The sequence below is a fragment of the Homo sapiens genome, chromosome 1 (assembly GCF_000001405.40).
Source record: "Homo sapiens chromosome 1, GRCh38.p14 Primary Assembly".
NCBI lineage: Eukaryota > Metazoa > Chordata > Mammalia > Primates > Hominidae > Homo > Homo sapiens.
Genome location: NC_000001.11, coordinates 22,786,601 through 22,799,777, shown reverse-complemented (window position 1 = coordinate 22,799,777; position 13,177 = coordinate 22,786,601). Strand labels below are relative to the sequence as shown.

General features: G+C 50.9%; 1 protein-coding gene across 7 annotated transcripts in view, besides 2 other annotated features; it reads right to left on the bottom strand.

Moving 5' to 3' along the window:
• The window catches only part of EPHB2 (EPH receptor B2), a 210,663-nt gene that overhangs the window by 121,723 nt on the left and 75,763 nt on the right, over positions 1 to 13,177 (bottom strand).
• Positions 6,783 to 7,312: an enhancer, noted in NCBI's record as "H3K4me1 hESC enhancer chr1:23118959-23119488 (GRCh37/hg19 assembly coordinates)". NCBI's record gives its function as "activates a minimal SCP1, AML or CMV promoter by ChIP-STARR-seq in naive H9 embryonic stem cells {active_cell/tissue: H9 hESC(naive)}" and the evidence as "EXISTENCE:reporter gene assay evidence [ECO:0000049][PMID:30033119]".
• Positions 8,498 to 8,998: an enhancer, noted in NCBI's record as "H3K4me1 hESC enhancer chr1:23117273-23117773 (GRCh37/hg19 assembly coordinates)". NCBI's record gives its function as "activates a minimal SCP1, AML or CMV promoter by ChIP-STARR-seq in primed H9 embryonic stem cells {active_cell/tissue: H9 hESC(primed)}" and the evidence as "EXISTENCE:reporter gene assay evidence [ECO:0000049][PMID:30033119]".

The window sequence follows — 13,177 nt, the reverse complement described above, 5'->3', positions numbered from 1 at the left end:
CATAGCTCTGCATGGCCCCTAAGCCTCACCCAGGTCATACCTCCTGCTCCACCAAACGACCTGTGTTCAGTGACAACCACTTACTTGCTGTGTGGACTGGAGCAAGTCACTTGGCTTCTCTGAACCCCAGTTCCCTCATCTGCAAAAGGGGATGGTCATGACTTCGAGCATTTAGATCGCAGGGGCCAGGCTGTGTCAAACAGGGCAAACATTTACTGACCACACACCTCATGTCAGGTGCTGTGCAGACACTTTCTTTTCATTATCTCCTTGAGTCTTCACAACTTGCTCTGTCATATTCCATTTATTACTGAACCCATTTTAGAGATGAGGCGATCAAGGCTTGGGTAGGTGAGTCACCTGTCCAGGGCCACATAGGTAGCAGATGTCAGAGCCAGTATTTGAACCCAGGTGGCTGGCTCTTACCTATTTTGCTAAACCTTCCTGCTTGTGGGTGTCTGGAGTGGTGGGAGGCAACACAGGGTCCTTATCCTCATGTCACAGAAGGTCACAGCTGTCCTGATGGCTTCTCGAGGAGTGCCACAAGGACCAGGTAGAATGGAATCAGGGACTGTTAGGCACATTCTACAGACGGTGACACTGAGCTCCACAGGAGGGAGGAGCGAGGGGAAGTGCTCTGCTGGGGTCCCAGAACTCAAATTTGTACCCAGGGATTCTGACTTTGTGAGCTGCTCCTGCACTATTCAATCAATGCACCCTGGCTGGTTAAAACAGTGCCGTGACACACGCACATATTAGGTACCTGCTGTGTGCTCGGACTTGCTTAAAACTGAAGGCTCATCCATTACCATGTCCCCCCCACCTTAGACATGTAGATACTGCCTTGCTTTCTAGAAACTCTGCCAGCACTGGGCTGGTGTCCACCCTGAGAAACCATCCATCCTGCGGCCGGACAATGCCTCCCTTCTCATCCTGCTCCTGCCTTCTGAGCTCCTTTGACTCCTCGGAGCCTCTTCAAACCTTCAAACCTGTTGTTAAATGAGACTACTGGTCTCATTTAACAACAGGGAAACTGAGGCTCAGGAAAAGGACGTAACCAAGTCAGTCAGTCTCATGGGTGGCTAGTGGCAGGGCGGGGAGCTCTCTCTGTGCAAGGCTCCCCCTGGCAACTTCCAATTCCGGGTCTGCACAGACCCAGACACACGGTGGGCTCCCACCAGCTCCTTATGAGAGAATCGAGTCCCACAGCAGCCTCTGGTCTAGGACCACACTGCAGAGATTCAGAACATGGTCATGCCAGGGCAAAGAAGGGAGCAGGAGCTGAAACTATAGTGGTTTATGTTAAAAAAAAAAAAATGGGTAAGACTGAAAAATGCTCTCTAAGGCCTCTAGCTCCAAGAGGGATTTGAGATCTTAGGGAAACCCTGAGTATCAGGAATAAGGAGTCTCCATCCGTGCTTAGAAACATCTATCCCAGCCACAGACAGACCTGTGGGGCGCCCTGGCCATGTCAGTCCCTCAGGAGCCCTCCAGAGGTGGCAGGAAGAACCCCAGCCTCTCCATGGGCCTTGGTTAGTAGCGTTACTCCCAGCAGGATTGAAAGGGTCCATGTCTGAGACTGGGGTGGGTGGGACTCTGCAACAAGTATTTATTGAGAACCTTCTGTGAGCTCAGCACCATCCTAGAACCTGGAAATACAATGGTGAACAAAACAGATGAAATAGCTGCTCTGGTGGAGTCCACACTCCACCTGGGAAAGACAGGCAGTTGGGGAACACAGTGGGAAATACATAGTACGTCAGATGGTGATTAGGACGATGGTGATTAGGGAAGGGGACAGGCTGCGTGCCTGTATAAAAATTGGGTGATGCGGGATCTCAGTGAGCAGGTGACATTTGGGCAGAGACCTGAAGAAGACGATGGAGCAACCACTGTGGATATCTAGGGAAAGAACATTCCCGGCAGAAGGAGGTCAGAGTGCCTAGAGAGCGGGAGGGAAGGAGGAAACGGGAGGAGACCGGTCAGAAAGGTGAGAGAAGGGAAAGATGATGAAGGGCCTTGTGAGCCATTTTTAGGAGCTTGGCTTTTGCACTGTGCAGGATGGGGAGTCTTAAAGATTCTGGCCAGACCAAGCATCCTAGGGACCCCAGACTGGAGGAGGCAGGGTGGGAGCAGGGTGGAGGCGGCCAGGAGACAGTGGAGTGAGTCTGGACTTCAGAATAGAGGTCTGGGCTAGAGATCAGCCCAGAGAAGGCATTTGAAGCTGTGGGGCTGGGTGGAGTCATCAGGGAGAGAGAAGAGGAGGCCAAGGACACAGCACTGGGGCCCTCCAAGGTGGAGAGGTCGGGAGATGAACAGGAACTAGCCACAAAGGGCTCAGAGCGAGAGGTGGAGGGGGGTGGGACCCTGGGAGCCAGTGAGGTCCCAGAAGAGGGAGCAGTCACTTTGTCAGATGCTGCTGGCAGGTCGAAGAAGATGAGGTCTGGGACATTACGTCCATGTCTCCCACTGACTTGGCAACATGGACATCACTGGAGGCCTCGATGATGAGCTGTTTTAGTGGAATGAAGGGGACGAATGTCTGATATCAATGTGTTCATGAGCCCTAGGAACGGGAGTCAGCAGCAAGGGGGCTTCAGAATCAAACCAACCCGGTGACCCCCGTTCCAGTCCCAGCTCTGACCCTTTCTAGCAGTAAGCCTTGGGCAGGTCACTTCACCATGCTAAGATTTCCTCATCTGAAGAATGGGGACAATAGCCCTTTTACTTCCTAGAGTCCTTGAGAATCCAATGAGATAACAGTCATGAAAAAAATGTACTAATGATGAGACACTGCGAATATTCCAGCAGGACAAGTACAGGCTTTGGATTTCACTTCTGGCTCCTCTGTCCATTAGCTGTGTGACCTTGGCTTGGTTATTTAACCTCTCTGAACTTCTGCTTCCTGTTCTGCAATAGTTGTACCCAGCTTCTGGGGACTGTAAGGATTCAGCAGAGTGTTCACCAAGCTCAAGGCAGCAGCCTGGCACAGAGTGAGCACCCAATTGATAAGAGCCTGTGCCTGCCTCCTCCGGGTATTCTTATTCTGTTACTTACAAGTAGATTCCAGCAAGAGGCACAGAGTCAGGCGTCAGACCCTGAGTTTGAGTGCCGGTCCCCAGACAAGTCATTTCATCTAACTTCTTGGGCCTCAGTTTTTACAGCTGTGAAGCTGGCAAGCTGTGGCCTTGGCCCCCTTTGTTTGGGGGATGGGGGGGACAGAGAGGACAGGAGACAAAGCTCACGGATTGCAAGTGAGATGGAAATGGCCGTGCACTCACAGCCCTCTCCTTGGCCTGTTGTCTCATTGGGCAAGCAGGTTACTGTGACCAGAAAACAAAATCCTCGTTATGAAAACAGTAACTTAAACCAACCTCCACCAGGTCCCATGGGAAGAGACTGGGAAGGCCCGAGGAAGGAGCAGAAAGCCCAGGATACCAGCAAGAGCAGCAGTCCCAGGCCAGCCCACCCCGCAGGATAACCCCTGGCCCCCCAGCCATGGGGGCTACGCAGCCCATCCCCTTCCCTGATTTGTTTCTCCCCGTCGTCCTAATCACCGCCTGACATACTGTGTATTTCCCACTGTATTCCCCAACTGCCTGTCTTTCCCAGGTGGAGTGTGGGGTCCAAAAGAGCAGCTATTTTGTCTGTTTTGTTCACCACTGTATTTCCAGGTTCTAGGATGGTGCTGAGCTCACAGAAGGTGCTCAATAAATACTTGTTGCACCCACTTCCACCTTAGCAGGAGTGAGACCCCTGGGCTCCCCTGAGACCTTGGTCTCTGCCCTGGGTGGGAAGAGGCAGGCCAGCCTCAGTGTGAGCTCCTCACAGACCTGAGAACACGTGGCTCGTGTGAAGAGGAGTGTGTGGATGGGTTGGCGGGATGGTAACAGGTCCCGGAAAACCTCCCCCGGCGGGGGGAGCTGTCTGATTGGACATCTTAGAGATGACAAGGGGCTCCAGAAAGAGCCAGGTCTAGGAGCCTGCAGCACTGGGTTCTAGTCCCGGCTTCTGCCTGACAAAGTATATGGGACGCTGAGAAAGTCATGCCTCCTCGTGTCCTCAGTTTTCCTTGTCTCTAGAATGGTGCCAATAACCTTTGCCATGCTTCTCTCATGTGGGTATCATTTAGATCAAAATATCTCATGGAGTGAATCCGAATGTTACACAAAAGCAGCCTCCAATCTTTTCTGGAATAAAGCAGGGTGTAAGTAAATAAATACTGTACATATGTAAGACATTATCATTACAAATGGCATTTCTCCCACCAAGCTATGGGGGCAAAACAAAACAAAACAAAACAAAACAAAACGGAAACCAGTTCAGTATGGCGTGAAGAATTCTCATTAGGATTTCAGGAGGCCTGAGTTTTGATTTCAGCTCCGTATGTACCTGATAAGGTGAGTGAGCCTGGGCGAGCCACCTCCGACTCCCTGCCTTGGAGCCCTGGTAGGGAATCAAACAGATGTTGATTTTAGGGAGGCTCTGCAAGTTCTGCCAATAAAGAATTAACAATAGAATGTTCCCTCCTCTCCAGGGACTCAGGCAGGTCTTGGTTTAAGTCTCTCACTTGCCATGCAGCCTTGGGTAACTTTCTTCCCCTCTCTGGGCCTCGGTTCCTCTTGTGAGGTATGAGGTGTAGGGCTTAGGGTGGGGGGAGTGAGGATAACAGGCCCCAGGGACGGGGGTGCCCAAACAGGGTGGGGTGAGGCCAGAGTGGGCCAGTGGGGCCTGTGCCAGCTGCCGCAGAGCAATGAAAAGCTCTTAACCACACAGAATTGTTAACAGCTCCCAAATCCTGTTGTACCAGAGGCTTAGAAAGGCTTAAACTGTTAAATGCATAAACTTCCTCAATCAACGGGCCTCTCTTGCCAGATTCTAAAGCCCAGCCAGATGAAAAGGCAGTGGCTGGAGGGCGGGGAACTTCCCAGCTGTTTATGGTCCTGCTGGAGTGATCTGGAGGCAGCCTATGTGTTTTCAGGGTCCAGATGAGCCAGTCTGGGGCCGAGAGAGGACAGTGCAGGGCTCCAGGGTCAGATGCCCTGGGTTCTAACCCTACTTCTTCCTAGCTGGGTCATCTTGGACTTTTCCCCTCAATTTCCTCTTCTGTGAAATAGGGATGACCTTATCTAACCCTGTAGGGTGACTGAGGGCCAGTGGATACTGCTTGTATCAGAAGAAATCAGAAGTGGAAGGCACAAAGGCATAGACCTGTCCCTGCCACCTAAGAGGGGTGTGACATTGGCCAAGTCTCAGTTTCCTAGTCTGATGAGAGGATTCAAGGAGGTGACTGGGCAGGAACGGCCCATCCGGGTGAGCATTTGGTATGTGCGGTGTGGGACAGACTGGGGGCTTTTCTCTCTGGCCAGAGGTCAGCCAGGGTGGGGAAGCCTCCTTCCCTGAGGCTTCCTTATTCCCGAGCCTTCGTCCTGGGACTGTGTTCCATCCTGCCTTGCATCGCTTGATAGGAAAGCACCTCGTCATTCAAGGCCCAGACCCGGGTCTCCTCCTCTCCCAAGAAGCCCTCCTGGTTACCCCAGTAGGGTCAGCCCCCTCTTTCCTTTGAGGTCCCACAGTCCTAAACATGAGCCCCTTAGCCGGTTATCTGCCAAGCTCTTTTCACTTCCACCATCTCAGGGGATCCTCCGTCATCTGGAGGTAGGCAGGCCAGGGTGTAATGTTTCCATTTCCCAGGTAAGCAAACTGAGGTTCTTTCTATCACACCCTGCTGGTCACTCTCCATAGGGTCTACAGGATTGGGACTCAATGACCATGTGGATAAGACATGGGCCTCAGGTATAAAAGGTGAGTACATTCAGGTATAAAAGGTGAGTACATCTGGACAACTTATTAATCTCTTCAGGTTAATAAGTTGTCCCAGCAAGCTGCAGAAAGCCAGGTTCAAATTCTAGCTTGGCTACTTAGTGGCTGTGTGGCCTTGGGCAGCTTGATGACCCTCTCTGGGCCTCAGTCTCATCATTTGTAAAATAGAGCTAATAATACCAACAGAAGTTTCAATAAGATAATGGAAGCATAGCATATACCACAGTGCGGGACACACAGGTGGCACCTTTCACCTCCCTGTCTCGGGCCTCCTCCAGGCCTCTCAGGACTACCCTCAGCCTGCGAGGGCAGTAGAACTGAAACCCTGGCAGCACTTCCACCATCCTCCCTTGGCCAAGAACACCTTTCTTCTGCTCTTCCCTGGATGGCTGCACCTTGTCTGGGGATAAGCAAGAGGCTAGGGTTTAAAAAGAAAAAAACCACCACCATTTCCAACCATTTTTTTCCTGGACTAATTGCCCTTTCAGCCCTTGGTTCTTCTCATCCTCCAAAGCCCTGGGAAAATGGCTCCTCCTCCAGGAAGCCTTCTTGGCTCTCTCCCCATTCCCTCCTAAGCACCCCAAGTCTGTAGTTATGGATAGAGCTCTCTCCTGCGCCCTAGACTGGCAGCCCGAGGGACGGTACGGAGGGCCTTCAGCATCTGGGCAGCTCCCACACCTGGCCTAGGAACTGGTACACAGCAGGTGTCCTGGAAGTGGTATTTGAGTGAAAAATGAATGAGCTGTTCTGAAGCCCAAATTGTCCCATATTTCCTACCCAGATCACTAGGAATTTGAAGACCAGAGAGAAAGAATCATCTCATGTCCTGAGATCCAGAACCTTCCATTTAGCTGACTCAGAGAGGAGAGAGGACTGAGGTGACTGACCCCCACCCTTCCCAGGAGCATGCACTCTGGCTGCCTCCAGGCCTTTCCACCTCCTCCTCACCTGCCTAACTCTTGCTCCTCGCTCAGCTTCCACCGCAGTGGCCCCTCCTCCTGGAGGCCGTCCTCTGACCGCCTGTTCCTGGCTGACGCTCCCCTGGATGGGCTGGGTGCCTCCGTCAGCTTCCACAGACCCTCCCTGCCTGCTCTGCTTTCCTCAGCACAACCCCAGTCCCCCTGCACCTTCACTGTCTGTAGATGTATCTGTCACCATCTCTAGGCTGGGTGGGCCTTGGGGGCAGGGGTCATCATGGCCATTTCCAAGGCCCCCTAATGCCTGGCACATGACACTCAACAAGTGTTAGCTTCCTGGTCCTCAATGAAGACATCACTGAGCCCTCCAAGAAGAAGAAAAATCAAGAGCTGAATGATTTCAGTGGATGTCTGATGGATGGATGTATCATGGACAGATGGATGGATGGATGGATGGATGGATGGACCAATGGATGGATAGGAAAGGGGAAGTTGGGGAGGGTGTAGAATTTTTCCTATTTTTAAGAGCAAAGGCCTGAATCACTTGAGTACATTGGCCAGGGTCCCTATCTAATTCCCTTCACAAAAGGCTGGCCTGTGTGGTCTCAGCCCTGGCCTGAGCCTGGGGGTCTGCAGGAGTTGTCTGTCCCCCCTCCTTCTCCCTCAACTGGGTGTCTCCACCCTGTCCTTGAAGAGAAGCAGCAGAATTTCTATGTGGGGGTCTGGGCCTCCCCTCCCACCCAGCATTCCAACCCTCACACCCTTCCCCAGTCAGCATAGCACAGGCTGCCAGCTGGCGGCCTCCCTCCCAGAGCCCACCCCATTGACCGCACCCCACCCCCGCAGACTCCCCCAGACACTTCTGGGCCACTGGTCCAGCCTCTGTAAGAAGGGCTCGAGCTGAAAGCAGGGTGGGAAGGAGGATCCAACTCTGAAGGCCCAGAAAGGACCCCTGGCCCCTCCCTCCCTTGGCTGGGAAGCACAGGATTCTGGAGTGAAACAGAAAATAAAGCCACAGGCATAACATCCCATGCTGGAGAGCATGCCAGCAAACAGGCACTCTCAAAGGCAGCTGCTTGGAGGGTAACTTGGTCCAGCCTTTCTGGAGGGTAATTTGGCAATGTTTGTCAAAAGCTCTAAAAAAAGTACATGCCCTTTGACCCTACAATTCCACGCCTAGAAATGTATCCTACGCAAATATCAGCAGCAATGCAAAAAGACAGAGAAACAATGAGGCTCACCCCAGCATTTGTTTAAGATAGTGAAATACTGCAAGCAATCTATCTGTCAATCAACAGAGCAGTAGTAAATAAATTACGGTACATTTATTCTATGGGATCCTAAGAGCTTCTCCACAATGATGTTATAGCTCTGACATGATATGCAAAGATGTCCACAAAATATTATTATCAAAAATTCTCCTCCTGGGCATGGTGGTTCATGCCTATAATTCCAACACTTTGGGAGGCTGAGGTGGGAGGATCATTTGTGGCCACGAGTTCAAGACCAGCCTGGACAACATAGTGAGATCCTGTCTCTCTGAAAGGAAAAAAAAAAAAAAAAAAAGAAAGAAAGAAAGAAAGAAAGAAAGAAACCCATGTAATTTAAGCAGAAGTCCATTTTTTTCTTAAAACAAAAAATCAGTATGTGTAAATACACATAAATCCACCTGGAAGAACCTATACCAGTTTGTTTCACAGTGCTTATTTCTGGATGATAGGATTATGGGTGATTTTAATTTCTTCCTTTTTGCTTATCAGTAATTTCTAAAGATTCTACAAATAACCTGCATTGCTTTTGTGATAAGGAAAAGTTATTTTTTCCTCAAAATAAAAAGCTCACCAGGAAAAAAAAAAAGTTCACAGGCAAAGACAGTGTTCATAAAAGTCCTTAATCTTATTTTTATAACACTCTTCTGGGTATTTTCTCATTTACTCTGTATAACAGCCCTCTGTTTATTCTGTTTTGCAGATGAGAAAACAAAGGTTGGGAGAGGGTCAGTGGCTCACCCAAGGTCACACAGCTAGTGAGAGGTAGGGCTGGGGTTTGAAAGCAGGTCTCTGAAGCCAAGGTCAAGGAGAGGCCATGAGCTGGGGAGAGAGCAGGGGCTGCACAGCAGGGCAGGGCAGACAAGAGGGAGAGGCTGGGAGGAGAAACCCAGCAGCTGGGAACTGGGGAGTCTGAGCTGGAGCCAGCGAATCAACATGTGCGTGCAACCACCCCGAGCTGGCTAGCAGCCCCTCTCCCCATCCAAGCTAAATATTAAAAATCCCATTACGTCCGATAGCATCGCAGCAATCATGCTCACTGCGGAACTGCCTCCAGATCCCTCGCAGATGCGGGTTGGCCACTGGGAGAGAACAGAGCAAGGTCCCCAAAGAAGGCTAGGTTGGGGGTTCCTGCTGGGCAGGCAGAAGTGGGACTGAGGTGGGTAAGGAGAGACCAAGGAGAACAGGGATCTGGAGACAGGCAGGCTTGGAGAAACTGGGGCAGGGGAACATTCACAATCACACCTATCATACTCTAGAAAGAGTCAGAGAAACAGACTTGGGTGCGGGCAGCTGCTGCAAAGAAGGCATTCCAGGGACACCTTCTGCCACTCCCAGCAGACCTGCTGGCAGGAAGCCCCAGCGGGGACTGGGGTTGGGGAGGGAACAGGGCTCTTCTAAAGGAAGTCCCAGGAATCCTCACCTGGCAGCTGTATGCCCAGTGTAGACCCCGATTAGGCATGCGATAAAAAATGAACAGGTGAATAAATAGGGGAAAATTGTGTCCTAATCCCTATACACTGCAAAGCCCTTTCTACCCATCAAATATGCCTTGTACTGTCACACCTTGGGGCCTTTATTCGTATAGTTCTCTCTGCCTACAATTCCCTTCCTCCCTACCTTCACCCATCCAAATCCTACTCACTCTTCAAGGCCTAATTCAAATGCTACTCCCTCCTTGAAGCCTTCTGAGATACCCAGTCATACAAGATGGCTTTTTCCTCATATTCTCAAAGCACTTTGCCTGGATGGATCTCATTTGTGGCAGCACCATACTCTGCCTCGTTCCCTGGGTGTCTGAGTCCCCTGCTCACCCAGGAGCCACTTCAGACCAAGCCCTGAGTGTCAGGGTTTCTCAGGGACCCTCTGCCTGGAATGCTTTCCCCACAGCCTTCTCAGGCCCATCAGCTCAATGATACCTCTTCCAGGAAGCCCTTCCTGAAGCACGGCCACTTTTTGATCTCTATTGTTGCACAATTCTTTCCCCCTTCACTCATCACATTCTGCAACTAGTTTATTTATTTGCTCACTGACTTTTTCTTCTGTCTTCTCCTATCCACCCACTCAGACAAAAAACTCTGGGAGGGCACTGATGTGTCCGTCTTGTTCATTTCCGTATCTCCCTGCACCTGGAATGTGTCTGGCTCACAGCAGGTATGCAACGCATATTTGTTAGAGGGCTAAATGACCCACAGAGGTTACTCAAAACATGCATGTTGAATGGTTGGCTTCCCCAGGCCCCTCCCCTCTCCCGCTGTGCCCTGTACACAGTAGGCACCAGAGAAGTTGGTCAGATTGAATCAGTTTAGCCCACTCACTGCACTGGGAACTAGTAAGCCTTTGTTCACCATCACTGCCCACACCAGGAATGGTGGCCACTCCCTCTGAGGACTCCCCCACTCTCCATCTGCCAAGAAGACTTAATCCAGCCTTATTTTCTCTAATTTATATTAACAAAGCAATGGATGTTTTCCTATTAAATTATATCTCAATATTAAATGCATCTTTTCAAACCACATCCTCTTAGAGATTCTGCTAATGTTCCACTGCCCCAGGGAGGACAATCCCTGGGGTGGTGTTGGGGCTGGGCTAGTGTCCTTTCTTTGGCCTTAGGTCCCAGCTTGGTCCAGCCAAACATGTGTTATCACATCGTGCGTCTGAGCTCATGGTCCTGGTACAGAATCATCAGGACTGCTTGTTTAAAAATGCTGATTCCAGCTGGGCACGGTGGCTCATGCCTGTAATCCCAGCTTTAGGGAGGCTAAGGCAGGTGGATCACTTGAGTCCAGGAGTTCGAGACCAGCCTGGTCAACATGGTGAAACCCCATCTCTACTAAAAATACAAAAATTAGCTGGGCATGATGGTGCACGCCTGTAATCCCAGCTACTCAGGAGGCTGAGGCACAAGAATTGCTTGAACCCAGGAGGCAGAGCTTGCAGTGAGTTGAGACTGCACCACTACGCTCCAGCCTGAGTGATAAAGTGAGACCCTGTCACAAAAAAAAAAAAAAAAAAACAAAAACAAAAGACAAAAAAACAAAACAAAATAAACCCTGCTGATTCTTGGCCCCATCTCAGAGCCACATTCCCAGACCTGGGGGAGAGGTTTGAGTCAGACCCAGAAACCTGCACTTTAACCAACTAACCAGGTGACTCTGATCCACAATAAAGGTTGAGAAGCCCTAAGCTAGAGGACGAGAAAGCACTTGGCCAATGTTACTTGGATGTGAGCTGGAATCACCATTCCTGCACGTCCTGCTCCAGCAGGGCCAGTGCCTATGGGGCTTGGGCTGCAGCAGCCTCACATCTGGGTGACAGCAGCACAGGCCACAGCAACAGCTGGTGTCCTTCTGGGCTCCCTGAGCTCATTAATCACACCCTGACTGGACCCCACTCACACTCAGTGGATGGCTGGGCTGGGCTGAGGCCTTGGGGAGGCTTTCAGGTCCAGGGGAAGATGAGAGTGGAAGGGAGCCTGGAAGGGAGCCAGGGCTGGGCACACCTTAACCCTGCCCCACCTTGCACCCTCACCATCTGCAAGGAGTAGCTCTGACTCTGAGAACCTGCCTATGCCAGGCAGCCTCTAACATGGCCCCATGATCCCACCTCCTGGCATTCACACCCTGTGTAATTCCCTCCCCTGGGGTATGGGCTGAATTGGGTGACTTGCTTTTAATGCAGAGAATATGGCAGAAGTGGCAAGATGTCACTTCTGGATTAGGTTATAAAAGATTGTGGCTTCTGTCTTGGGTGTTTGCTGGTATTCTCTCTTGGCTCTCTCACTCTGGGGAATGTCACTGCACATGCAAGAGGCCCATGTGGTGAGGGACAGAGTCCTGCCAACAACCCCGTGAGTGACCTTAAAAGCAGACCCCTCCCTGGTCCAGCCTTCAGAAGAAACTGCAGCCCCAGGCCACACCTTGAGTGCAACCTCATGGGAAAATCTGAGCCAGAAGAACCCAGCTAAACCACACCTGGATTCCTGACCCTCAGAAACTATGAGATAATGCATGTTTGTTGTTGTTTAGAGACAGGGTCTTGCTCTGTCACCCAGGCTGGAGTGCAGTGGCATAATCATAGCCCACTACAGCCTCAAGCGATCCTCCCACCTCAGCCTCCTAAGTAGCTGGAACTACAGATGCACATCACCACACCTGGCTAATTTTTTTCTTTTTCTTTCTTTGTAGAGACAGGGTCTCACTATGTTGCCCAGGTTGGTCTGAAACTCCTGGGCTCAAGCAATCTTCCTGCCTCAGCCTCCCAAAGTGCTAGGATTACAGGCATGAGCCACCATACCTGATCTGTTGGTTGTTTTTTATGCAGCAATAGGTAATGAATATACCTTCTCATCTGAACACCCCGCCTGTCACAGTTCTTCCTACATCCCTCCTCCAGCCCTTAGCCATGGCCATACCAAAACTGCCTCCCTAATGGGCCAAGTTGATTCATGTTCCCAGGCCTTTATTCATGCAGCTCCATCCTCCAGCATTCCTGGGCCACCCACCCAAGACTCAGCTCCAATGTCACCTCCTCTGTGAAGCCTTCTGTCATTTTCTGCGCCCACTGTAGCCTGAGCAGTTCCTATTAAAACAAGTCTAACACATCACCACCTTTGTACATTTATTTGTCTGTCTCCCTTGCTAGACTCTGAGCTCCAGAAGGCAGAGCCACAGTCTGATTCTTCTCTGTACTGCCTGATGCTCAACATAAGGTCTAACACAGAGCAGGCTCAGTAAAAGTTTGATGACTGAACAAACCATCAACAGTGAGTGGCTGGTTTCCCATTCACTTGTTCTGCCACCCACACACTGTCTCACCACTGCCACCTTCCAAGGCTGTGCACTTTTATACCCAAGGACGTAAAACCAAATTTGTTATCTTCCCCAAGAAACCAGCCCTTTCTCCTAACTTGCCCATTTCTTTTCTAGAACCATCACCTTTCTGCAAGCTGGAATGCCCTGTTCCCTGTGACTCTTACCTCTCCTCCCTTTCCATCCTGTCTTCCTTCCCATCCTATCCCTTTCATTGGCAAAACATCCTTTGATCTCGCCTCTCCTCTTCCCCAGCACAGGTGGATGCCCCACTCCAGGCTGTCTCTTGAGATGAAAACAATGGTTCCCTTATAGGCCCCTTCCTCCTGTCTCTGGCACCCCCATCTGTCCTTCTAGG